The sequence below is a fragment of the Homo sapiens genome, chromosome 2 (genome assembly GCF_000001405.40).
Source record: "Homo sapiens chromosome 2, GRCh38.p14 Primary Assembly".
Lineage (NCBI taxonomy): Eukaryota > Metazoa > Chordata > Mammalia > Primates > Hominidae > Homo > Homo sapiens.
This window is the reverse complement of record NC_000002.12, coordinates 23,449,800-23,475,550: the sequence shown is the minus strand read 5'-3', so window position 1 is coordinate 23,475,550 and position 25,751 is coordinate 23,449,800. Positions and strand designations below refer to the sequence as shown.

The following is a 25,751-nucleotide window of genomic DNA, read 5'->3' as shown; positions in this document are numbered from 1 at the left end:
GAGGGAAAAACAGTGGGGTAGGGGTGGGGAAAAGGTCTAATTTTTTTTCTTTTCTTTTTTTTTTTTTGCAAAAAGATGTCTTTTGAATTCCAGCATCCTGGGTGGTCCCCACACTAACTGGATGCTAGTCTCTGCCTCAGATATCCCTGATGCTGAGTTGCATACTGTGGATTATCTCACACAGGCTGTGCACAAACTCTGCCAGCACATGCAAAGTGGGGCGAAGTGGGTAGCAGAGTACTCCGAGTGGCAGATATGAGGCATCCCCCGCCCATCCTCCGAATACACACAGCCCTAATCCCCACCATTGAGCCATTGACACTGAATAACAGAGAGAACAATGGTATTGTCTTCCATCTAATCCAAACTAAGAAACTCCAGCAATGGGGAAAAAGAAAACATTTAAGTCTTTAATCTAATACTGAAAAGGACACAAACTCTAGAATTACAAAAACAAATCATTACTTTTTTCACACAATGGGCAAGAAGACCTTGAGGAGGCAAAGAATAGGTTCCCTGGGGAGAATTTTTTTTTTTTTTTAAATTATAGATTTAATACCTAGGAGAAAGAGGCTATCTATTACGGGGAGGCAGAGCTACTCCTGGTTCCTTCTTTTAAATGTAATCTATGAGAAAGCCATCTTCACAACGGGAAATGGCATCCCCCACTGCAAAACGCACGACTGTCATTACCTGGGAATCAATATATTTTTTTAAACCAAATATATCATTATCAATTGATTTTCCTTTTTCCTCTTAGCACTCCAGAGTCCCGGGTAGCAGGGGAAAGCTTTAATGTGATATGAAGGATTTGGACAGGTAAATAAGTTATTGTAAACTCATTCTGCCTTATGGTCAGCTTCCCTCTGACAACGCAACGAGTCTTTCTCAGATCCTCTCAACCTAAGCTTTTCCAGCGGCCGCTGATAGAGATGCACGTGATCCATATCAAATAGCCATTTTCAAGCTGAAGGTGGCAAAAATATTATTTTTCTCAAGGATAGAATGTTCTCTTTACGACTAAGAAATAACCTCTGCGGGGAAGCAAAATCAGCCAAGGTCGCCATTTAATTTTGACACAGAACCAAAGTGGCGAGTACATTTCCTCTCCAAGGTGAAGCACAAGGAGAAACTGATCACTTTGACCACAAGGTATTGGCAATACTGGTGATCGATGTATTCTGGGAAAGATCCTTGGCAGATAAGTGCTGGTGAACAGAGAGGTCTAGGAGATAGGGGTCAAACCATTTTTAGGTGCTTGAGAATCTCATTCATTCATTCATTCATTTAATAAATATTGATTCCCTCTATGTGTCAGGCAGTATGTTCAAGGCACTGGGAATACATGAGTGAACAAAAGAGAAAGGTACTCCTGCCCTCAGGGAGCTCATATTCTAGAGGGTGGAAACACAGAATATACAATACACTTAAAAAGTAGTGAAAATTGTATCATATTTTGGAAGGTAGTATATGCAATTTATTAGAGAAGAAATGGAGCAGGGTAGGGTGCATGTTGTCGGGGGGCCTGTGGTGCAGTTTAAGTAGGGTGGGCAGGGCCAGTCTTGTGAGTGGAGGACATTTGAGCACACACTTCAAGATGAGGAGTAGGTCGTGTGGGCATCTGGCCCTAAGTGTTCTAGGCAGAGGGAACAGCCAGTGAGAACATGGCTGGTATGTTCCAGGACCACCAAGGAAGCCACTGTGGCTGGTGGAGGGAGATTCTAGTAAGAGGTGAGGCCAGAGTGGTGAGCATCCTGATTGCGTAGGGCCCTGTAGGCTACTGTGAAGTCTACTAACTTGAGAGCCCAAAGATCCCAGCCACCATCTTTAGAAGTGGCTCCCAATTTCTTGAGCCAAAACCCTCAGAGTTCATGTCGGGTTAATCCACTTCCTTTCCAGGCTGTGCCGAATGAATATGGAATAGGCTAGACTGTAGCCTAGAGGGACAGTGGTGGGAAGGAAGCACAGGCTGTCTACGCCTGTCCTGACGACAGTGGCCTTGCCCTTCCATCTCTGTGGTCCCTACCTCTAGGGGAGACAACTGAAACAGTTCTGAACAAAAATAAACCACATGCACAGCTGAGTTCTCTGGGACTTTTCCTCATGTGCTGATGAAAAGGTCTGGAAGTGAATGACCCATTGGCTATTATAGACTGTACTGGATGTTTTGTGTTGGGCCCTTTTGACCTGCCTTCCACCTTCCCCACCCTGTTCTTCCCCACCTCTCCCAGGCGAGCCCTGGGAGGCTCACCTGACCTGTATGGAGAGCATCCCTCATGTTTTGGACCCTCTGACTTCTGGTTAGGTTCAGCCCATGCAAGCACTAGCAGGAGACTGGGGACAGGGTCAGGGTTGACTGTTGGTTCCCCTGCTCCCCTCCCTCTCTGCGTCTTCATGAGCAGGGTGTCCCTCACCTGCAGGTCATGGCTCTAGCTGGGGAACAAGGAGCTCCACAAGGCTCTCTCTCTGGATTCCTGTAATAGCTCCTTCCCCTGACCATTATGCTCAAAGGCAGTAATTCCCCTCATCCCATCATCAGCCTGGGGGCACTGTGCTATGATGGTTTCTCTATACTGTGCCTATTCATCTTTGTGGATAGTCATTTTACTTAACTCTCTCCAAATTACACATTTGAATATGTCTATTTCAAGACCCCGATAGATACATTCACAGAGAGGGTTAAAAGCAAGACCCTGGAATCAGATACATCTGAATTAGAATTCTAACACTGACACTTAGTTTTGTGACAGCAGGTAAGTTCTTTAACTCCTAGGAACCTCTGTTTCCCATTCTTTTTAGGCCAACATTCAAATTGAGGAAATACAGAGAATACCACAAAGATACTACTCGAGAAGAGTAACCCCAGGACACATAATGGTCATATTTATCAAGGTTTTGTTTTGTTTTGTTTTGTTTTGAGATGGAGTCTCACTCTGTTGCCCAGGCTGGAGTGCAGTGGCGCAATCTTGGCTCACTGCAGCCTCCGCCTCCCGGGTTCAAGCAATTCTCCTGCCTCAGTCTCCCAAGTAGCTGGGACTACAGGCACACGCCGCCATGCCCGGCTAATTTTTGTATTTTTAGTAGAGACAGGGTTTCATCATGTTGGTCAGGATGGTCTTGATCTTCTGACCTTGTGATCCGCCCGCCTCGGCCTCCCAAAGTGCTAAAACTAGAGAACCCGTGACATCCTCCTCCTCTTCCTCCATCTCAGCATCACCATCTCAGAAGTGCCATCACCTGCTCAAAGTCCAGGGCAAGCACACCTGCTTCCCGACATCTTTGCCGACCCCAACCAGAAACTCTTTCCTTGAAAGGGTTTCTAACTGTTCTCGGTTAACATTTAGCATCAGTCTATGCCTCAGTGATTTTATTTATTTTTTCACATCTTTCCTTTCTTGTTCTTTTCCCACCCACCCAACCCCCACGCCTTGCAGTTAGACCCTGGGCTTAATAGACAGTATCTTTTGGAATCTCTGGTCCATAGCACCCATCATGTAGCGGTGTATAAACGATCCTTGACTCATTATTGTCCTTTCTGGGAGGCCTATAAGCTACATCCATGCACCTAAGCATGTCCCACTCTAATGAGATACATGGTATTTAAAAGTGATTTAAAAATAAATTACTAGAAACCAATTTTTAGTAATAATTTTGTTCCCAAGTTAACACTGTAAAATCTTAACGTTTCCAAAGATCATGGCCTGGGAAAATGAATCCCAGGAATGAACCCAGGAAATCACAGGGAGGCAGGTATGGTTTTCTATCTCCAGGTGAATAAAGAGATTGCTTCAGGGCTTAATTTGTGACACTTTTGGCCAAATTGACCTTTTCCCTTCCACTAATTTCATCAAACGGCAGCCTACAGTCTTAAGGAAAACAAATCGTAAAAGCTAAAGGACAGAGGACTCTAATTTATTTTAAAAAATACAGTAGGTAGTCAGTCACTGCTTGTGAAAGGGGTCTTAGGACTTTCAGCTTCCCAAGGTACTCAAGAGATGTTAATTGACTTTGACAAGGCATTAAGACCAATATGAAAGCAAGACCCTTGAATGGGCTATTTGGGTTAAATGCTTGGAGAGCTTCAAAATGAAACTAGAGAAAAATTTTGAGATCCATTTTACCTCTAAGTCTATAAATAAAGATAGTTCCTAACATGAACCAAACTGATGGTCAAGAGAATTATGAACAAGGGCCCCAGGATTTTTTACTTCTTTATAAAATACACCATGTTTTTAGGGGAGAGAAACTGCCTTAAGAGAGGAGAAACCAATTAGGGAGCCTCCAGTTTGACACAGCATCAGAAAGCAGCCCCGCCAGGGTCGTAACCACACTCTCCAATTATGGGTCCAGAACCCAGAAGTTCAGCACCCCTCAGCAAACTGGGCAACAAAGAGTCTTTCTTCCTTGGAAAAGAAAAGCAAAGGAACTGGAGGCTGTAAACTGTAGGGAGGAAACCGGCTCCCGAGCCCACCCTCCTGTCAGCCCAGATATGGGACTCTGCGGCACCTCTGACCCTGGGCAGGAACGCCTGCTCCCAGTGTGTCCTGCAAGGGGAACGCTCATTCATATTCTTTTTAAGACGAGAGAAAAACAGGCCATCCATCCATTAATAATATCAACTGTGGGTTCACCAAAGCCTGCAGGCTTCTTGCCAACACAAAAATAAACATTCTCAGAAGGTTTATCCATCAGGTTCACGACAGTTCATGAGCCGGGGTCCGGAAGGCACTGCTTTTTAAAGGGGAGAGTGAAGATGCAAAGATGGAGTAAGTCATGAGAGTCCACCCAGCACAACGCAGAGATTGCCTATTCCATTAAGGAGCCACAATTGGCCACTGATGAGATCCGTTATTTTCAGCTGGTAGGGATGCAGCTCCTGGCATGCTTTTTGTAGGCTGTATTCAAAGAAAGACAGTGTCTGCAGAAGCCAGGCTGACCGATTTGAGAGGTAACAATGTTTTCATAAGGCTTGAAGTTTACAAAGCCTAGCCCATTCTTATTTTCTCATTTACCTGTTCTAACAAATTTATGAGTTGATTACTTTTGTAATCCTCATTTTACAGATGAGGGAACAGAGGCTCATGGCAAAAAAAGGTTGTCCAAAGTCACACAGCAAGTCAAAGAGGGAGCCTGAACAGCAAGCCTGGATTTTGTGCCTCCCATTCCAGGCTTTTGTTCCTGGGCCTCCAGCTGCCGTCACCCTTCTCCTCGTGAAAACTCCTCCCTGGACACTTCTTTCTGCACTCTCTGGAGTACGAAACTTTCCAGGCAAAATACTGGAGACTATCACAATAAGGACACACGTGCCACCCAAGGAGGCTTCCTGTTGGGCCAGCACAGCACCAAAGGGCCCATCTCCTAGTTGCCTTGGATGGTTTGGGGCGAGGAGAATGGGAAGATAAAGAAAATGAGGTGTTCATAGTTGGACTGGATCCTAAGTTATGCCATGACATGACTCCACCATAAACCCAGCATGAAAGGTTTCAGGAAAAAAAGTTGCAAACCAAAATCCTCTTAAAATCTTTTTTTTTTTTTTGATACACAGCAGACCCCCCCAAAATGAAATGAACTCGAACTCACCCAACTCAGCCCTGCCACTCAATGCTGGCACATATCCCCCCACCCTCACTCTACCAGTTAATACAGATTCGCCCATCACTGGAAGCAGAACCGGAATGACCCTTGCATTTCCACAAGATGAAGAAAAAGAAGCCAAAGGTGCCAACTGGACCTACCAAAGCTTGACTCACCCACAGCAGCACTGAAGATGTCGGCAGGGAGGACCCACCTGGCACGTAGTAGATGCTCAGTAAAGAGTAAAGCTCTGTTCAAAAAAGGAAATTGCCTCCACGGTTCAACTCATTTTCCACAATTTTTCTTTGAACATCTGGAAGATGTTCACACCATAGGTTGATGATTGGAATATAAACCAGTTTAAAAAAAAATCAGACACTGCTTCCAGATTTTGCTCTTATAAACAGGCCTCCATCCTCCCTGTAAATTGCAATAATTCCTTCCCAGATGTTGCTTCTCCTTCAGACCCATAAATCTCAGCTTTTCATAAGGATGCTTCGCCTCTGCCTGGTGCTGCGGGCTGCGTGGCGTGCTCCTGCATCTTCTCTCCCTCATTAGATGCCACACGAACCCCATGAGGCAGGGCAGGTGCCCACATCCCTGATTCCCTGACGGGCAGGCCAGCTGCCAGCTCTCTCAAGTTGGACTGCGGTGGGTGCGGGTGTTGAGCAACACACAGTAGCCTTTTCTCCAACACCCTCCAGGTCACCATGTGGGTGGGGAGTCAGAGACTCACAGCGCCTACTCCCATCTATAGAGGCTCCACTCCCGCTGCCTTGGTGCCCTCAGGGGCATTGCCCCTTTAAAAGTCTGACTCCAGTGTGGACACAGCTTTCCTCGACTCTCCCTGACACTCCTGGGACCAGGCTATAACATTTAAACAAGACTTGACTGGAGTCTTGTGGAGTAAAGCAAAACAACAGGCAAAGAAATAGGCGAGAGCCATGAGAAGAAAGCAACACACAGCCAGACAACTTGGCTCCCGGCCGGTTTTCCAGGAGGGCCCCAGGGGCCTGGTCAGGCCCATCCCAAGTCCTCAGCATCCACCAGACAGAAACTCGCACCCAGGAAAGAGGCCACCTCAAGTCTGGACGCCGTAAGCAGAGCCCAGAGAGAGCAGGGCTTCTGTGTTGCCTTCGGCTTTCCCTGTTCCAGTTTCTTGTCTGAAGTCTGTCTTTTGCCTGGTGATCAGCCCTGGAACTGTTGGCCCGGTTCTTCAGGGGAGCCTGTGACCTGCACCCCAAGCACTCAAATAGCCAGCCACATCAGAAAACACCACAAGCCCTCTAGCCAGACCAAAGCTATAGGTGTCGGGGGGCTGGAGACGGCCGTGGGGACAGGAGAAACAGACAGCATAGTAGCTCACTCCTAGGGTCTGGAATGAGCCAGTCTGGTCCACAGATATAGCTGCTGATGCTCGGCGGGGAGGGGGGCGGTGTCTCTTGAAGCCCCACCCCTTTAGGGCATGGCCTCTTGATAGCTTTAAAGAGGAATGATGGGAACAGAATGGCTTCACAGGGTAAAACAAGGTGGGCTATTAGACTTCGTGATTTGCTGGTCCCCTTACAGAGATGCAGAGATCTTCTCCCAAGTCTGAATCCTGTAGCCTCACTCCTGGTCTGCACAGCACCACCTGAGCTTCATTTTGGGTTTCCATCCTAGTCTCGGAGACACCAGTTCAGAGGCTGGCTCAGCCTGTGTAGTGGTCAGGAGCATGGAAGATTTATAATCTGAGGGAGCTGCATCTAAATCTCAGCTCTGCCGTTTGATGGCAATGACCACGTCTGCCCACCCTCCACTCCCAGTCCCTGCCTCAAGCTCCTCTTCTATACAATGGGGATGATACCACTAAACATCGATGGTTGTTCTGAGAGTTGAATGTTCTACCATAAGAAAGAAACTTAACATAGTCTATGGCACATACACATGGCAGCAATAACCATTATAATGATCATGCCTGCTCATTGAAGAACAAAATACCTATAGTGCCATGGGGATGGCTGGGAGTCACACTAGATGGAGCCTTCTCTTCCACCACCCCGCCAAAGAAGTGGGCACGGAGGGCACAAATGAATGAAGAGGGGTCTTCCTCAGAAGGCGGTGGAACCAACGGGCTGATCACGTGTGCAAGAGTGCTGGGTTGGTTTCACACTGGTCAGCGACCACTCTCCGCTCCCTCCAGCTCTCTCCCTGAATTTCAGCCTTCACAGAGCCCCTGTTCCCATCCCGCCTGCAGCCAGCGATTGGTAAACCAAAATCAAGACCTTCGGGCAGATGCTGCTACAGCTTCTATTTCATGATTCTGCCTTTCCTTTGAGCCCAAGCCTACAGAGCCAGTGGCCAAAAACCCCTTCCCCAACACAAGTGGGTCTTAAAATGCATTGCTTCCTCACTCAGTAAAAAAGCTATTTTATTTGAATAGATCTGAGGCTGTTTTCTACACTCTCAGAATAAAAAAAATTGTGAAAGAAAGGCTTTAGAGATTACAGGACTTTTTACCCAAATATGATGAGTTATTCATTTAAAAATAAACTACAGACAGGCATGTTTCTCCATACACAGGCAGAAAGATGCCATTAACTAGGAATTTCTGTAAGTACTCTGCTTTTCTTGGCCAATATGGAAAGAGCCTAGGAGCTGGAAATAGAATGAGAAGCTAATTCTGTTTTCCTGGTCTCTACCAATGTGTGTAGGTAAGTGGCTTGATCGCACTGTGGCTCTGTGATCCATCTGAAGAAACACGCGGGATGGCTTACCACCCTGACTGCTCTTCTGGAAAGGAGGCCAGCAGCTGAGCAGCAGTCAGCACGGAGGTACCCATCATGGAGCCACAGCCTGGCACGAATTGATGTCTGGATCCAGGCAGGGTCACCAAAGGCAGGAGAAGGTGAGTGACAGGAGGGGGTGAATGACAGGAGAGGCTGAGTGACAGGAGAGGGTGAGTGACAAGCTCAGGTCCCACAGCCAGTCAGCAGGAGAGTTGGGATGAGACCCGGGGCTTCCTAACTCTCTGGCCACTGTCCTTTCTTTCACCCAAGATCTTTCTACACTGTAACTGTCACTAAAGAGCTTCCAGGAAAGTCCCCCAGAAAGGTCAGATAACATCCCAACCCAGTCTTCCTTCCTGCAGAAAGTCCTGGTCCTCTCCCCTCCCTAGTAAGCATTAAATCAAATATTCCTTGCTGCATTATTTTTCAAGCTTGATGTTTCTAAATCCAAATACATCTATAAATAATACATACTCTTTATATGTACATTTAAAAGATAAAAAAACCATAACAAAGATACCTGTAGATTCTTATGAATACTAATGGCCTACTTTAACACAGTGGAAACAAACAGCTAATGAACACAGGTAACTGCACATACAAATTTCCCTCCTCTCCATCTCGGGCCCACACACGGTAGGGGAGAGCCTCCTTTCTGAACCTACACCATTCACTGCTTCTCTCCCACGGTCATATTTAGCCATCTGCTTCTTCTTTTATATGTGGGACTGTGTATTTTTTTCTCTTCAGTTTTATATGAAACATTTAGCAATGAAGTAGCAAATAAAAATACTACATATCATCTAGAATTCATATAAAATTGTACTTCGCTTTAACGCATCTAAAGGTTGATAAAAAGAAACACATAGATGCTTCTTAAAGGCTTATTTATATTTTATTACACATTACACACATTGCACTCCATTGAGAAAATTTAGAAGTTGATGTGGTTCTCTCTGTCACGAGCCTGCATGGCAAAGATTACCACATCTACAGAATATTTCTCCTTTGGAACACAATGCACTCATCTTGCAATTACCCCAGCGGACGGAAATGGTGCAAGTAATCCATCAGCACTCACATTGGTCTTTGGAAGGAGGCGTTTCTCTGTGATTTTTTTTTCCCTTAAAGAGTGTACTCTTGGCATTATCTGGCCACCCATCCTTTACCCTGCTCGACGTCTCTTGTCTGCACTCCAGACTGAGGACTGAGATGAACACCGTCACCTCTGAGACACACATGAAAGTCAGCGGGAAGGTGGCGGGATTGGCACCTGCCCCATCACACACCCACAAGCAGAAATAGGGGACAGATAAGGCTGCTGATGGTGCAGGCTAAGTTAACTAAGCTAGTGGGACTGAAGATGGCCAGAGGAGGAGAGTTTCTGGGCCAGAGGGAGTAGGACGACTTCACAGCAGGGCTTAAGCGGGGTCCTGGAGGAAGGTGGTGCCTGAAAGATCAACGTGAAGAAATTCAGAGGGGCAAATGTCTTCATTTGGGCTCCTCCTAAAGGGGATCCTGAAACAAGATTTTGACAGAAGTGGTTTCTTTGGGAGTTGATCCAAGGAAGCACTAGGGTATGAGACAGGACAGGAGAAAAGCCAACTGAGGACGCTTTTGCCATGGGGTCACTGCTGGGGCCAGCTGGGGCTCTGTCCTGCTGGGAACCCTCTGAGAGTCGTGCAGAGTGCACCTGAAATTGTCTCACGATGAGGCGAGGAAGCCGGGGTATTTATGCATTGCCTCCTGCCTCTTGCTGATAGAGGGCTGTTTCTGCAGTATGAATGCCCCCACACCTCCAGCCTGCCTGCTAGGTGCCCTCACACACAGAGAGGCAGGAGGTGAGAGGCGTGAGCAGGTGAGAGGCATGAGCAGGTGATGCCCTGGCTGGAAAATGGGTGCAGCACTGACAGCCTCCTGTTTGCTCTAGCAGGATGCCAGGGCTCCCATCAGCACCCAAACGCTGCCAGGACTAGCTTCAGCACCTTCCTGGTGGCTTTGTTCTCTGGGATCTGACCCTTCTGAGTGAGAGGGGGCCATACCCTGCCTGCCACAGTACGAGACCTCGAGTTTGCTCATCCCCACAGTAGAGGCCGTGTCAAATGTGTTCGTAATGGGATCATCTACTATCTGTCGGCCGTGCAGCAACCATGTATGAAAAATAACATTGAGAAGCAAATTAAGCGATCTGTCTGCAAGCAGCCTGTTTAGATGAGGAAGGGCTGCTGTTGACGAATCTATTAAAATTATACATAAATTATCTAAGAGCACATAGATACATGCTCAGAATGAGAGCATTGATTATGGGCATTTTAAATACAGCCTGGATTAAATCATCTTGTCTCACTTGAATGGAGTAATAATAATTAAGAGAAGAGGTGGGAAAAATAAATTACACCCATCAACTTCCTGACCATAAGAAATGTTCAGACTTTTCATTTTTCAGAATGACGATGCCTTAAAACACAAATACTTCTGGGTGCTGCCAAGAACCCTCCACAAAATGGGTTATAGGAAAGAAGGATCCAGAGAGGCCCCTGGATGCCCTCAAAAAGGGGAAGGGGAAAGTGGGGAGGCCACGTGTGCCTCTCTTGTCAAGCAGAACCTAGATGAGGATCTGAGGCTAGTGTTCTGTTTGAACAGTGGTTCAGAAAGCTTAGGCAGGGGAGTGGGGACGGGAGGGAGTGAAGGAAGTCAACACAGATTGCTCCAAATGAGCAGGCAAGTGGGGCCAATCTCACCCACTGGGGACCTGTGGGAGACAGGGAGGAGGGGGTCTCAGAGTTATCCCCCCCGAAGGCAGCTGGAGTGTTTCCTCCACCTCCCATTTATCATGGGCTGAAAGCTGCTGGCGGGGAATTAATTCCCTGGCCCTTCACGTCTGTCCCAAGTGGTCAGCAAGGGCTCTGGGGGCTCCGGGGGCTCCGGGCTTGCAGAGACCCTGGGGAAATGAGCCTCCAACAAGTGCAAACACACTGTGCTGGAAACTCATAACCTCTGATTACTTGGATGGAATTCAATTTGCCACTTTCAAAAGTCTAACAAAAACAGACTACCCTCCACCCCCATGTAATCACTGAATAATATTATAATCATTTTGCATGGAAATTGCATTATTTCCCTGATGGAAGCATAGGCTTTGAACCTCTCAGGGCTTCACCCGCTACATTACTTTTCAAAGTATGAAGTAGCAGGTTCCAATTATCTGAAAAAAATTTAAAACAGTAACAGCACAATACATAGTGTGATCCAGATGGAGAGAATACACATTTTCCAGGACAGGCACCTTGATTAGTGACTGTGATTGTTAAACACATTTCAGGTAATACAGTGATAATGGACATTAATAGTAGCAATAGTGCTGAAGTGCTGAAATATAATCATTTCTGATTATATTACTCTTTCTTTTTGTGAAGCGCAGTGCATATTTCCAAATGACTCTATGCTCATTAAACTACACAAAAGCCCAACAGCAGATTGGCAGAAAGGTGGTCAGAAGGGGCTTACGGCTCCTTGTGTTTGGAAAGTGGTGAAGGATGTTGGTCAGAGTTCTTGCGGGGCCCAAAAGACTCAGCAGAAGACCCGGTGTTCTGTCTTTGGGCTCCATCAAGAGACCTCTGCCTACATTCACAGACATAGGCTACCAAACAGCCACTACAGAAATGCTTATACGTGCAATATAACAAGCTGAGGGGTTTTAAATGAGAATTTTGTACAGTAAAATTTTTTGTCTATGCCATCTTTTCCCTCCTCCCTCATTAGCCCTCAACAAGGTGTTGCCTTCTATTCAAGATATCGAATATATCCACTGATAGATTCTGTATCAGTAAGAAGACTCTAATTAACACAAATATGATGTAGTATAAATTTTAGTGTCTGTATGTTATTATAAACAGACTTTTGAAGGTCACTTTAACAAGAATCATAACAAATTATTGCAAAGAGACTGTGAATATTTACCTATAAACCAAATGAAAAAAAAAAAAGCCAAAAACACCTGCTTCAACTTGGGATAGAATTCCCAGGGAAGGTCTAATCCTCACATTCAAAAAGTGCCATGACGTTCCAAAAAATTGTCAGAGGACTCAAAAAGTCACTCTAGTGATTAAAAAAAAAAAAACTACACTGAAAAAAAAACATGGGAGGCAAAGCTGCCCAGAACAAGTTTGAATAATTACTCATGAAATATAAGTGGAAATATTTCTAAATTAACATTTTATTTTTATTTATTTTTTAATTAAAGATGGGGTCTTGCTATGTTGCCCAGGCTGCCCTCGAACTCCCGGGCTCAAGCAATCCTCCCACCTTGGCCTCCCAAAATGCTGGGATTACAGGTGTGAGCCACCATGCCCGGTTAGCATTTTATATAGTTTGTAATTTTTAACATTTGAAACTAAAATAATTAAACATTGTAAGTATACTTTTTTGTTGCATCTATATTCAAAAAAATTTAATATATTCAGGTTGGCTAAAAAGTTTTTGGAAAGCTTTTCTTTGGGAAAGTGGGGAACTGCCTTATGTTTGGGCATAAGATTAATTTCTTAGCACTGATGGGCAGTCCTTATCCTGTCAAAGGTCTGATTTAATCCACCAGTCAAAGCCGCTAGGGACACTAGAAGGTCTTCAGTCCAACAACCCCTATATTTTGCAGATGAGAAAACGGAAGCCCAGAGAATTCTCTGTCCTACCACGGAATCATTATAGGAAGAAGCCTAGAAATCAGAGCTGGCTGCCCCTCCAGACTCCCTAGTGACAGAGGCCACAGCCTGGGGCTCTTTCTGTCAGTTGGGGATCATTTGGGGCTGTGAACTCACAGGTGATAGACCAGCCTCAAAGAACCCACCGGCAGCAGGCTAGGCCAGCCATCCAGTGTAGCATAGACAGAGCCTGTTTCCTCTCAGGAGGGAGCTCCCTCCAGATCACAGACCAGGTAGCATTTCCTATGCTTTGCCAGAACTCTGCCAATGTTTTCAAAAAGAGAGAGACACATGTATTTAAAAGCCTACATACATATAAAAATGTGTCTGGGCTCTTCTTTCCAAATGGGAGGAGTGCTGCTGAAATTTGCCAGGTGGGAGTCATCCTTGAGTCCCACCTGTCAGTCACCTGCCTCCCTCAGCAGCTGAGATTCAGACAAAAATCTCTTCTCATGGGTGGAAGGAACACAGGTGCAGCCCCTTCTATTAGGTTGGTGGAAAAGTAATTGCATTTTTGTCATTAAAAAAAAAAAAATGGCAAAAACCGCAATTACTTTTGCACCAAACTAATACCTGGGAACCTCAGTTTCCCTCTCCCTAGGGGCCATCAGTCCTGGGTCAGAAGCGGGTGTCACTTCTCATTAGGGCTCCTAATGCAGAGCAGGGAACCACCGCAATTAAAAACCCTGAAAAGCAGGATCATCGCTGGCTAACGATGCAGCTTTGTGCACTGAGATCTACTTTAAATTTTATTAGGCAAAGTCATCTATTTCCCGCCCCCCTGCCCCCCCAGCAAAGATAAAGAAGGGGTACACTGGATAGTGGGGTGAAGTAGCTGATAGAGAAGGCAGAGCGAGTCATACAAGGTAGAGGGGTCACGTATGGATACCGGGTCCATTTAAAAGGCTTAGGCAGCAAAAAGTGAATTTGACTTCCCATCAGCACAATTCACTCAAGTGTTTCTCTGTCGATAGGGCATTTCAGCCAGAGCACCTAGAAAAATTAACAGCTACGCGAGAACTCCTAATCAACAAGAAGTGGTTACCTCAAAGCCGTACTCTTTAAGGCTAGAGGCATAGAATTTTTAGAGCAGCTGCAAAAGTGTTGAAACATGAATTATGAATTGAGATCCTGTGGCTGCTCAAATCTAGTCCCAGAGCTCAGACCCAAAGTAGGAGACAGAAAGAACCACAGGGCATCTCATGTTTGTTTATACGCCCAGTCTGGGAGCCACATCCTGGCCCTGCAGTTACTACTCACGTAATGTCAAGCAAGCTACCCGACCCCTCTGCCTCAGTCTCTTCAGCTGTGAGATGGGGATAACAAGAGTGTTTCCTCCATTGGGTTGCTGGGAGACTAAACAGGATAATACAATAAAGTACTCAAAAAAGTGCTGGACACAGATTTGATTCTTAACAGATGTTGGTGATTATTGTTTGATTTTGTCAGCCACCGGGACGATCTTTCTAAGACACCAATCTGGTTTCCTCTCATTTGAAATCCTTTAGTGGCCTCTCAGCGCAGACACAAAATCCAAGATACTTGGTATGATATCTATGGCCACAGCTACTCTGCAAACTTCCGCCCTTATCAGTCACGGTGCCTCTGCCCGGAACTGCTGGAAGCTCCTGAGCTTGCACGATGCTCCCTTCACGGGAAGCTCCTGAGTTTGCACGATGCTCCCTTCACGGGAAGCTCCTGAGCTTGCACGATGCTCCCTTCACGGGAAGCTCCTGAGTTTGCACGATGCTCCCTTCACGGGAAGCTCCTGAGTTTGCACGATGCTCCCTTCACGGGAAGCTCCTGAGTTTGCACGATGCTCCCTTCACGGCTCCATGCCTTTCCACACCTGTGGCCTCCACCTGTCTTGTCTGTCCCTCATCTTCTGCTTGGCCAGCTCCACTGTGTGTCCAAGTGCTCATCCTCTGAGCTCCTGTAGTTACCACATGCACATATTAATCTAGCCATTTTCACCCCATTCTTGTTTGGGGCAAGATAATTCTTTGTAATGGGCTTGTTCTGTGCATTTTAAGATGCTTAGCAGCATTTCTAGCCTCCACCCACTAGAGGCCAGTAGCATCCCTTCCCCCCTACATCATGACAAAAATATCTCCAGATAAGTTCCCAGATAAGTGCCCAATGTCTCCTAGGATGGGGAAAGGAACAAAATCATCCCTGGTTGAGAACCACTGCACTAGAAAAAACTATAAGCCCCGTGAACACACAGGCTATAACTTATTCATGTCTCTATCACTGGGACCTGGTCCAGTACTTGGCAAATAATACATGCTCAATAAATGGCTGTTGACAAGGAAAGAAGGAAATGAAATAAAATAAATTTAGTGCTCATAATAAATATCCTACTCAAGGTTGAGATAGGCATGTTGGATCAAGTAATGAATAAATGAATGAGATACACAGTTTGCTAACTGAATAAATACACAGTAGGTATGTTGAACAAATACTTCTCATCATTTCAACATTTGAAAGTAAAATTTTGACTCCAGGATACCCTTCCAGCTTCTCCTCTACCTGTCCTGCTTAGCTCCTCTGCTTCATGGTGAAACTTCTGGAAAGGCTGCCTAGGCCTCCTGTCAACTTCCTCACCTCCCATTCACCCCTTAGCCCATCACTCTATCCAAAGTTCTCTTGTTAAGGTCACCAGTGTCCTCCATGGTGCTAAATCCAATGGACGGTTTCCACTCTTTATCTTGTGTGCTATCCCAGAAGCTTTCAACACTGGTGGCCACTCCTTGAAAGCAGGGATGAAAATCAAGTTTAACAACTGATGTGGCATGGGCACTAACCACTATCACAGTGCATGCACCGACAAGTCAGAATGGTCACTGGGCATCCGTGGCCAGTCTCACTGTGCCTGCGCATACAGGCTGAATGCAAGTCTTGCTTGAAGCCCTTGCTTCCCTTTGCTTCCACAACACAACAATCTCCTGTTTTTAATCCTGCTTCATTGGTCGTCATTTCCCCATTTTGCCGAATCACCCCTGCCTCCCTGGCTATTAGACATCAGAGCTCCTAGAAGATGTTTTGCCAGGCCCTCTTCTCTTTTTTTACTCCATTCTCTTCTTCCCCTGGATGATCTAATCCATGCTCAAGGCTTCAATCACTCTCCATATGCTGATGACTCTCCAAAACATATTCTCTCCAGTCCCACCTCTCCTCTGAGCTCCGGATCTGTACATCTCACCTACTTATCTGACACCTTTAATGTGATGTTTCAAAGGCAACTCAGACTGATCATGCCTCTTCCTCTCACCCAAACAAATCAAAGCAAAGAACTCTGGGCTTCTCCAGTGCTTCCTGTCTCAGAATAGAGCACACCAACCATCTTATATCTAGATGTAACCATCTAATCAGGCACAACCCTGATACCTAGGAGCCATCCTGTGGAGGCTTTCTCCCTCCATACCCAGCCCATTATGACCCCTCGACATACCTCTTACCTCCAGCTACTTCTCTTCACCTCCCCACTGCCACTGTCCTCTCTTGCAATAGTCTTTTCACTTGGTTCTCCTGAATCCTTGCTTGCTCTTCCCCAATCTGCTTTCATGTTGCAGCAAAGTGCAAATCCGATCCTGTTTCTCCTCTGCGTTAGCCTTCACCATTAGACTCAGATAAAGACTGGAGGCACAGCATGGCTCCAAGACCATGCATGCACCAGCTGCATGTCCTCTCCTGCCTCATCTCACCCCTGTCCCCGTTCTCCTCTCCGCTATGACCACTGGCCTTCTTTCCATTCCTGGGATGCTGCACTTGTACTGCAGGGTGTTTCCACATGCTGGTTCCTCTCTCTCTTCACCTGGTTCATGCTGATTCTGATGCCAACAAAAGCAGCAACTCTTGAGGGAAGCAGTTCTTGACGTGAGGTTGCCACATACCATCCTGGCTGTAGAGCTATGAGAACACGTGTTCATAATTATAATTTATGTTTGTGATTATATGATTAATTTCTTGTCTTCCTTGCCTAGAGCATAAGCTCTATGTAGATAGAGGATTACCTCTGTACATAGTCCAGGGGCCAGCACGCGATAGCCTGTGGCCAAATGCAGCTGGTTTTGTCAATAGAGTCTTTCTGGAACAAGGCTACACCCATGTGTTTATGTATTGTCTATGGCTGCTTTTGTTCTACAAGAGTTGAGTAGTTGCAACAGACAAAATGGCCCTCAAAGCCTAAAATACTTACTTTATAGAAACAGTCTGCCAGCCCAGCTCCAGTGGGAGCACCAGTGCCTTGCAGAAAGCAGACATTCAATACAAATGTGTTAAATTAATGAGCAAGTGGGCAAGCTGAATAAATGAGCTTCCAGTAGGTCCCTGGTGTCTGCTGAGTAAGTGACTCAAACGGGCCCTCTCTGGGGCAACGCCGGCCACCTGCAGACGTGCACTGACGCCTATAGCACTGTTACTGACATGCTGACCCTCACGCTTTTCCCCAGGAGCAGGCATCCTTACGTTTTATTTTTTTTTAATTTTTATTTTTTGAGACAGAGTCTCGCTCTGTCGCCCAGGCTGGAGTGCAGTGGCGTGATCTCAGTTCACTGCAAGCTCCGCCTCCCTGGTTCATGCCATTCTCCTGCCTCAACCTCCCGAGTAGCTGGGATTACAGGTGCCCGCCACCACGCCTGGCTAATTTTTTGTATTTTTAGTAGAGACAGGGTTTCACTGTGTTAGCCAGGATGGTCTCGATCTCCTGACCTCGTGATCTGCCTGCCTTGGCTTCCCAAAGTGCTGGGATTACAGGTGTGAGCCACCGCGCCCGGCCTTACGTTTTCTTTAGAGTCCCAGATAATAGGTCTTGCCAGGCAAGGAGGGGACCTTTCATCTGACTGCAGGGACCTTGTTCCTGGTGCTTCAGAGCCTGGGAATTTATTGTTGGCCATCCAGCACCAGTGGGACGCTGTTACAATCCTTGTGACACTCCTAAAAGCAGAACAGGGAATTCCAGAGGCACCCCCACCTCGGGGAACACAAGGTGACGGGTTGAGGGGTGATCCATGGGGCCAAAGGAGTAGCACTCACACCGCAGGGGTCCTGGAGGGGAAGGGCCCCAGAACCATGCCAAAACCACTTAATGGATCAGAATCAAAGGAGAGGAAGATGAAGGAAAGAATTAAGAACCTCTGGCTGTCTCTTCTCTAGGTCCCCACAGCTCAAAGCCACCACTTCTCACAGGAAAGGCCTGCCTTAGTCATTCCAGACTCCAAAGACCTGGCCCCTCTGGGCTCAGAGCCCATATGAGTTCAGCATTGGTCAAACATCATCCTACACCAGTCACTGTGCATGTGAGGGTTACTCTGCACCCTGCGCTCACTCAGGGCACGGATTGCTTTAACCTCCTCCTGTTCCTGTCACCAGATGCCTCTAGCTCCAGTCCCCGGCGTCGGGAAGGCACAGGGCCTGGCACAAGGGAGGGTCTCAGCAGATGCCTGGGGAGGGGCCTCGGAAGGCCTCGACCTCTGCTGCTCCGGCCCTGACACCTGAGATGCCGCCACCCTGCTCCCTTCCATGTAGCCAGGCCTGCTTCTGCGGTGGCCTGTGTGACCTGGAGCAACCCTACCACCTTTTTTCTCCCTCTGCCTGGCTGTCTCCGCAAGTCCCCGTCAGCACACTTCAAACCAGCCTGGGTGCACAAGGGAGACAGCATCTATTGCCAGCCCTGGGTGACTGGACCCCACAAGGGCTGCCATCCTGGAAACATCTCCAAGTGCAGGCATAGCTACCCCCTTTTTTTGGTGGGGGAAGACTCCAGGATCTTAATACTCATAAATAAGTTGTCAAAAATTCCCACAGCAGCGATAACGCTGCATTCAGGCTGAAGCGTGCAATGTGGCAGGAACAGAAAACGCAATGCGAGCATTTACACCCAAGCACAAGTAGCCAGAACCCCGCAGAGCTGGCGCGGGAGAATGTTTCCGGCTCCTCACTCGTGGGTGCTAGACGCACGCATCACGTGGCCTTACTAGAGACGTTTCAGATTTAGTTCTCGGATATTTTGTGAAGATCCACGGAAAAGAGAATGAACACTCCTGAGCATAGCCCAAATCACTGCTCCGAAGATTCTAGAACAAATGTTTCCACCTGCATCTTCCTGGGTTCCTGGCACAGCTCTACAAGCACTCAGCTGCTATGGGGAGCATGCTGGGGGTTCTGTGGAGGTGGCTCCCTCTCAGTCCCATTGCTGTCACTGCCCCATTGCACCAAGGGCCCAGGGCCGGCAGTCTTCTCTGCCTTGGCCCCCTCCAGCTACAACAATGGGGAGGATACTGGCTCCTACCATCAAACAGGAATCTGCTTGGAAGAAAAATCCTTTGCAACAGGCTTGGTGGTTGCATTAATTTGCTAGGGCTGCCATAACAAAATACCAAAGGCTGGGTGGTTTAAACAATGGGAATTTATTTTCTCACAGTTCTGGAGGCCAGAAGTCCAAGATCAAAGTGTCAGCAGGTTTGGTTTCTTCTGGGGCCTCTTCTCCTTGGCTTGCAGGTGGCCGCTTTCTCACGAAGTCCTCACACAGTCTTTCCTCTTTGCATGCACATTCCTGTGTCCCTCTGTGTGTCTTCTTTTTATAAACACACCAATCAGGTTTCACCTTAATCACCCCTTTAAAGGCCCTATGTCCAAATACAGCCACATTCTGAGGGATTGGGAATTAGGGCTTCAGCATGTGAATTTTGGGGAGACACAATTCAGTGCCTAACTGTGGCTGACTAACAAATGAACCACATGGCAGAATTTACAAAATCAGGAGACTCTACTCGGGAGGCTGAGGCAGGAGAATCTTTTGAACCTGGGAGGCAGAGGTTGCAGTGAGCCGAGATGGTGCCACTGCACTCCAGCCTTGGTGACAGATGGAGACTCGGTCTCAAAAAAAAAAAAAAAAAAAAAAAATCAGGAGACCATCCCTCAGCTGACGCTTCTCTTCATCACTCAATGGCAAACTTGTCTGCCTGTCCTCAGGGAAACTTCTTAGAGCAGAAAGGCAAATAAAATTCACAAACCAAAATATCTTACATTAACTGGATTTCCACTTATTTATTTGCTTTTTAACAAAGACCTTCACTAACAACAGACCAAACCAATGTTGATAACAACAGTAATGATAAACCAACCAAATCTAGCAAAACTATTTCAACTTAAAATAGGTTAAAGTTGAAGAACATATTTTAGGCACGAGGTGTAACTCTGAATCATAATACACGGTATTTATAAAATATATTTTCAGGTAACCTTTTTACAGAGCTTTACTAATCAGTCACAAGAGGTCAAGGATTATGGAAGTGGGACAATTTTATGGGTGGGCCAAGATTTTGTTATTGATAATGTCAGCAACTAAAGACAACAGCTCTACCAGAAGGAGCCAGGCCTGAGAAGAGGCCACATTCAAGAGACATCAAAGGGTGATCTTATTTAATTCACAATAAATTTGTCTTCAGAGATGACAAACTGATTGCACAGAGGCTGCAGATGCGAGAGAAATAAATGCCCCCCCCCCAACCCACTGTTCCTGTTTCTACGAGTTGTCAAATTCAGCTGACAGCCCTTAGCCCTCTTTAATGGAAAGGCGCCACGGAATTCCATGCCAAGTGCCAAGGGGTAGACAACCTGGCTGTTTAATCTGCATTCTACACTTGGCACCTGGCATAGTGTCTGGTGGGCAGGAGGCACCGAGGAATATTTGTTGTACAAAATTTAAAAAAAAATCATTGAGGAAGAGATCTGGGCAAGGCGGGGAGAGATTGCAGAAAAAAACGCAAGAACAGAGGAATAGCAAAAAACAGGAACTACAAGCAGAGTGCTTAGCAGTCACGAGAGACTGTGCAAATGAAATAACGAAATCATTATTCAGTCCTCTGATATGATTATACAAGGAGACAGAAAAAGCTGACGAAATAACTGCTTTAAAATGTATAATCTTCATCTTGTAAAAATAAAACCGGGATTTTGTAAAGAATGTATATCAAAGTTATACAAAAACATCAAGACTATACAATTTATAGACAGATTTAAATGGAGTCTGCCTGGGGGTTTAAATAAAATCCATCCTACTAAGCATAAAAATAAAATTCGTTTTAAAACAATTACTCTGTGAAATAAAGAATAAACATACTCGTTTAATCTTTAACTAAGCTCATCCTACAATATAATCCACTAAGTCCCCTCACTATGGGACTGGAATGGGACACAGGACGTGACAGGAGGGGAGGGGAGGTGACAGGCTGAGTTCTGAGGCAAGGCTGTGTCCAGATCTCAAGGGGCCGGGGCGGGAGGGTCAGGGGCCCAGCTTTCTCCTCGGGCAAGGAGAGCCAATTGAGGTCTTAAAGGAAGAACTGACTCAATCGAATGTGTATTTCAAAAGATGACCCACAGGTTAAAAGTCCCTAATGAAAAAAGTAGCCATCAGCTGACACAAATACAACACAATTAGGCTAGGCTCTTCAAAGCAGACCTGGCCTCCTCATTTGCTGTTTTAATGGGCATTTAGTCAGCAAGCGGACCTTGGGTCCCGGGTGTAAGGCTCACTGCCCTGGTTTCAAACGCTGTAAAATCCCCTGGACACAGAAAGTCTCCTCAAATGCAGTTCTAAAACCTCCTCCCCATTTTTAAAGGGTAAATGCAGGTTAAATAAAAAGTGCTAGAGTTTGCCCATTGTAAGTTACCAGTGAGCCCGAATTTTCTTCTAAAAAAAAAATACAAAACAAAATACCAAGTCCCTCTTATTTTATGATCTTGCTTTTTCTAAATATTCATATAAGGTGACCTTTTCAAAGCACGGCTTGGAACTGAAAACATGCTGATAATAAATCGTGTTTCTCTGGCTTAATTGAAGCCCTGCCTTAGCCCGGAGTCAGGGCCGCTGCCGTCCATTTCTCAGGGTGCCCAGAGAAGCAGAGCTCAGTGGGCATCCTGGGGCTGCCAGAACCCAGCAGGGGCTCCGGCTCCAGGGGAAAGGTCCCCCCACTGCACTCCCAGCAAGGTTGTTCCTTCAAGGTGAGCTCTTTCCCCAGAATTCCCATGTGGCAGGAAGGAAAATGCTGCACCCACACTTCTATTTTCAATCGCATTTCTGAAAAGCCTCAATGTGGGAGATGCATTGTTAGCAAAGTCCCACAGCTTCAGGGGAATCCTGCCTGTGGGCCCTTGGCTGGCAACCGCTGCATTTTTCTGTCACACAGGACAGGTAGTTCCCGGGCAGAAGAAGACACAGCTCCTGTGACGTGGTGACTGAGCTACGGTGTGGTTACATCAACCAGCTGTTTATGGTGGGGCCAGGGAGTGTTTGCCAGAGAATTTTCAGAGACACTGTCTAAACCCTCAAGTCAATAAGAACATCGTAGGCATAGACAAGAAACGTTTTTTAAAATTTACTTTTACTTTTTTTTTTTTTAATGAAACATACACTCCTATAAAAGGAGACAACACAGTTCTTGTTCTTTAGAAGTTTACGGTCTCTCAGGGGAGGCAAACCCAGACCCAGACATGGAAAAGACATAAAAACACACAAAGAAACCACAGTCCCAGCATAAAGGAAGTGGTTATGTGGAAGCGCAGCTCAAGTGCTGGGGGATGTGTGTGTGTGTGTGGGCGGGGGGGTGACCAGTCTTCAGAGTCCCTCAACAGAGCCCACTTACTCTCCTAAAGTTCTAGCACCTGAAGACAGAAAGAAGAACGTTCCAAAAGCAAGCCAGTAAGTATGTCAGCGTTGAGGGATACATTTTTCTTTATTTTATCTGGTGGCCTTTCTAAATGTGTTGGTGTCATTTTTACAGTTAACAATGTAAATGCACTGCTGTATATCAGTATATAAGAGATACTTCTAGAAAGAAGACCAACAGGGACAGTGGCTCCTCTCAACGAGGGCTGTGATTATGCTCAGAGTAAAAATTACTGAGGACACAAAGGCGGGGCTGATGGCATGAGTGAACCTGGCAGTCACCCTCCAGTGACGTTCCCAGAACTATTTCAGAGGCAGATGTCACTTTTCTCAGCTTCCCATCTGACACGGTTTGGATGTGTGACCCCTCCAAATCTCATGTTGAAATGAGATCCCCAATGTTGGAGGTGGGGCTTGGTGGGAGGCATTGGACCCTGGAGGATCCCTTGTGAATGGCTCGGCACCATCCCCTTGGTGATGAGTGAGTTCTTACTCAGTTCATGAGACTGCTGGCTGTGACAGTAAGGCATGATGGCTCACACCTGTAATCCTAGCACTTTGGGAGACTGCGGTTGGAGGATGACTTGGGCTCAGGAACTGGAGACCAGCCTGGACAACACAGTGAGACCCCATCTCTAAAAAAAAAAAAAGAAAAAAATTTTTTTTTCTGGGCACGGTGGGACATGCTTGTGGTCCCAGCTATTCAAGAGGCTGAGGTGGGAGGATCAACTGAGGGCAGGAGATTGGGGCTTGAATGAGATGTGATCGCACCACTGCACTCTAGACTGGGTGAAAATGCAAGACCTATTTCAAGAAAAAATAAAAATAAGAGTGGCACCTCCCCCTTCTCTTGCTCCCCCTCTCGTCATGTGACAGCCTGCTCCCTCTTCGCCTTCTGCCCTGATTAGAAGCATCCTGAGGCCTCTCCAGGAGAGGATGCCAGTGCCATGCTTCCTAGACACCCTACAGAACCATGAGCCAAATGAACTCCTTTCTTTATAAACTACCCAGCTTCAGGTACTTCTTTATAGCAACTAAAGAATGGACTAGTACATTACCCAATAGCAGGCCTGTGGGCCAGTTTTCTGGGTCAACGTTGATCCCTTCTACTATTCCTGTTAACTTAAACCCTGAGGAGTAAAATGGACTAATGTGCCCGTCCAAAATCCCTCCGTCTCCCACCTGGAGGACACTCACAAGGAAACAGCTGCTTTCACTGGGAGCTGGGGAGAAAAACTTTCTATTCCCTTAAAGGCAGAACCTCAGAGCCTCAAGTGGGGCCATGAGGCTGCCTTGGGAAGAGGGAGATGCAGGAGGCTCTAGACTTGGGTGAGAGCTTGCAAGGCGCATGCACAGCTTCCCAGTCCCCATGACCCAGGTGCAATTCATATGGGAAGAGCTGTCCACACTGCCACTGATGTTTGCTGTGGGAATGAAAACAAACAAGCAAGGCTCCCCAAACAGAGCTAGAAAGGCCTTCAGGGAACACAGGACAAGAAAGATGATGAGAACTCACATTCCCTGGGTCCCTACTGTGTTCCAGGCACAGCTCAAATACAGCCTTTACATGGATTTACCCAGGGAGTTCTATGGGAGTGATCACTGGAATTCTCTCTGTATTAAGATGAGGAGACAGACACAGAGAGGTTAAGTCACTTACCTAAAAACAAACCAGTTTTTAGGTAAGTGGAGTAGGATGTGGAGCCAGGATTCAAACTCAGCCATCTGGCTTCAAAGACAAACTTAAAAAAATTTCCTTAGTTTATGCTAAGTGAAAGAATTAAGTCACAAAAGACCGCATTATTGTATAATTCCATTGATATCCACTGTCCAGAACAGGGAAAGCTATAGACATAGAAAGTGGATCTGTCAGAAATCTGTTTGAGTGAAAAAGAAAAAAACAATAGATTAGTGGTTGCCAGTGATTGGGGGAAGGAAAAATGGGGATTGACTGCTAATGTGTATGGGGTTTCTTTTTGAGATGATGAAAATGCTCTAATATAAGCCATAGGGATGGTTGCACATATCTGTGACTATATTAAAAACCACTGAATTGTATACCTTAAATGGGTAAATTATAGGGTATGTGAACTATTTATCAATAAAGCTGTTGTTATTATTATTATTAACTTAGTTAAAACACATCTCCTGAGAAACAAACCAGAGGATACACAACTCTGCTTTCACTGGGGACCTGGGGAGACAGTGCAACTTCACTTCAAAGGGAAACGGATCCAAAAGAAAAACGGGAGGAATGTCCATTTTTTTTTAGTCTTTCAATATCGAAGCTGCCAATTGAATCTCTAGGGCTGAAGTCTTGGGGGCAGCCCCTAATGTTCTGCAGAGAAGGGATCAGGGCCCTAAGGAACCCCAGGATCCTGGCTGCATGGACGACCTTGGCTTCCTGATCTGTCTCACAGCACAGCCACCGGAGAGCCCTATAAGGTTATTAAATATGAATTAAGAAAATGTAAGATGTGCAGGCCGCAATCTAAGCTATAGAAAAACAACCCTGACCCTTCACATGATCCCATGAAGCAGGGTGAACCATCTCGGCCTGGCGGCACGTCTTGCCCAGCTAAGCGGCATGACCTGGGAAATCTTGGGAGAGTCGTGCTCTGTCTCACCGAGAGGCGAGATGAAAGCTCCAACAAGGCCGGTGCTGCCGTCATGATGAACTTGCTTCATGTTCCTCCACTTGTGTTCTGAATTGCAGACTTGTTTTCCCCGGTATTTGTCACATTGAGGACATGAGCTTTTTAATTGGCGATCGAGCTTGCCGCTTGAGATGTCAAAAGACTGTCTTTGTTGAGAAGCAGCTCTGTTAAGCACAGGCCCCACAAGTTAATGGCTGTGTCCCTGAGTCAGCTGGGGAGCCCTGGCTTGAGCACAGAATAAAGCCAGCCAAAAGAACAGATGATTTCATTTAGGCAGAGCCTCGCTAGATAGCCCCTGGGTGCTGAATTCCATATTAGATTTAACATGCAGGGTTCCAGAGGGCTTGGTTCTCCACGCCTCTCATCCAAGCTATGCTTTCCAAGG

The 25,751-nt window shown here is 46.4% G+C and overlaps 1 protein-coding gene and 1 long non-coding RNA gene across 2 annotated transcripts in view, besides 4 other annotated features; one reads left to right on the top strand and one right to left on the bottom strand.

Moving 5' to 3' along the window:
• The window catches only part of KLHL29 (kelch like family member 29), a 323,428-nt gene that overhangs the window by 233,056 nt on the left and 64,621 nt on the right, over positions 1–25,751 (bottom strand). The gene's annotated exons all lie outside the window — the stretch shown is intronic.
• The window catches only part of LOC124907741 (uncharacterized), a 33,975-nt gene continuing 8,270 nt past the window's right edge, over positions 47–25,751 (top strand). Inside the window, exon 1 of the long non-coding RNA XR_007086244.1 lies at positions 47–8,461. This is a non-coding gene — a long non-coding RNA (uncharacterized LOC124907741). The remainder of the gene's footprint in view (positions 8,462–25,751) is intronic.
• Positions 21,518–22,017: an enhancer, noted in NCBI's record as "H3K4me1 hESC enhancer chr2:23676405-23676904 (GRCh37/hg19 assembly coordinates)". NCBI's record gives its function as "activates a minimal SCP1, AML or CMV promoter by ChIP-STARR-seq in naive H9 embryonic stem cells {active_cell/tissue: H9 hESC(naive)}" and the evidence as "EXISTENCE:reporter gene assay evidence [ECO:0000049][PMID:30033119]".
• Positions 22,018–22,519: an enhancer, noted in NCBI's record as "H3K4me1 hESC enhancer chr2:23675903-23676404 (GRCh37/hg19 assembly coordinates)". NCBI's record gives its function as "activates a minimal SCP1, AML or CMV promoter by ChIP-STARR-seq in naive H9 embryonic stem cells {active_cell/tissue: H9 hESC(naive)}" and the evidence as "EXISTENCE:reporter gene assay evidence [ECO:0000049][PMID:30033119]".
• Positions 22,382–22,441: an enhancer, noted in NCBI's record as "active region_15413". NCBI's record gives its function as "activates an Ori minimal core promoter by ATAC-STARR-seq in GM12878 lymphoblastoid cells {active_cell/tissue: GM12878}" and the evidence as "EXISTENCE:reporter gene assay evidence [ECO:0000049][PMID:35858748]".
• Positions 23,062–23,161: an enhancer, noted in NCBI's record as "active region_15412". NCBI's record gives its function as "activates an Ori minimal core promoter by ATAC-STARR-seq in GM12878 lymphoblastoid cells {active_cell/tissue: GM12878}" and the evidence as "EXISTENCE:reporter gene assay evidence [ECO:0000049][PMID:35858748]".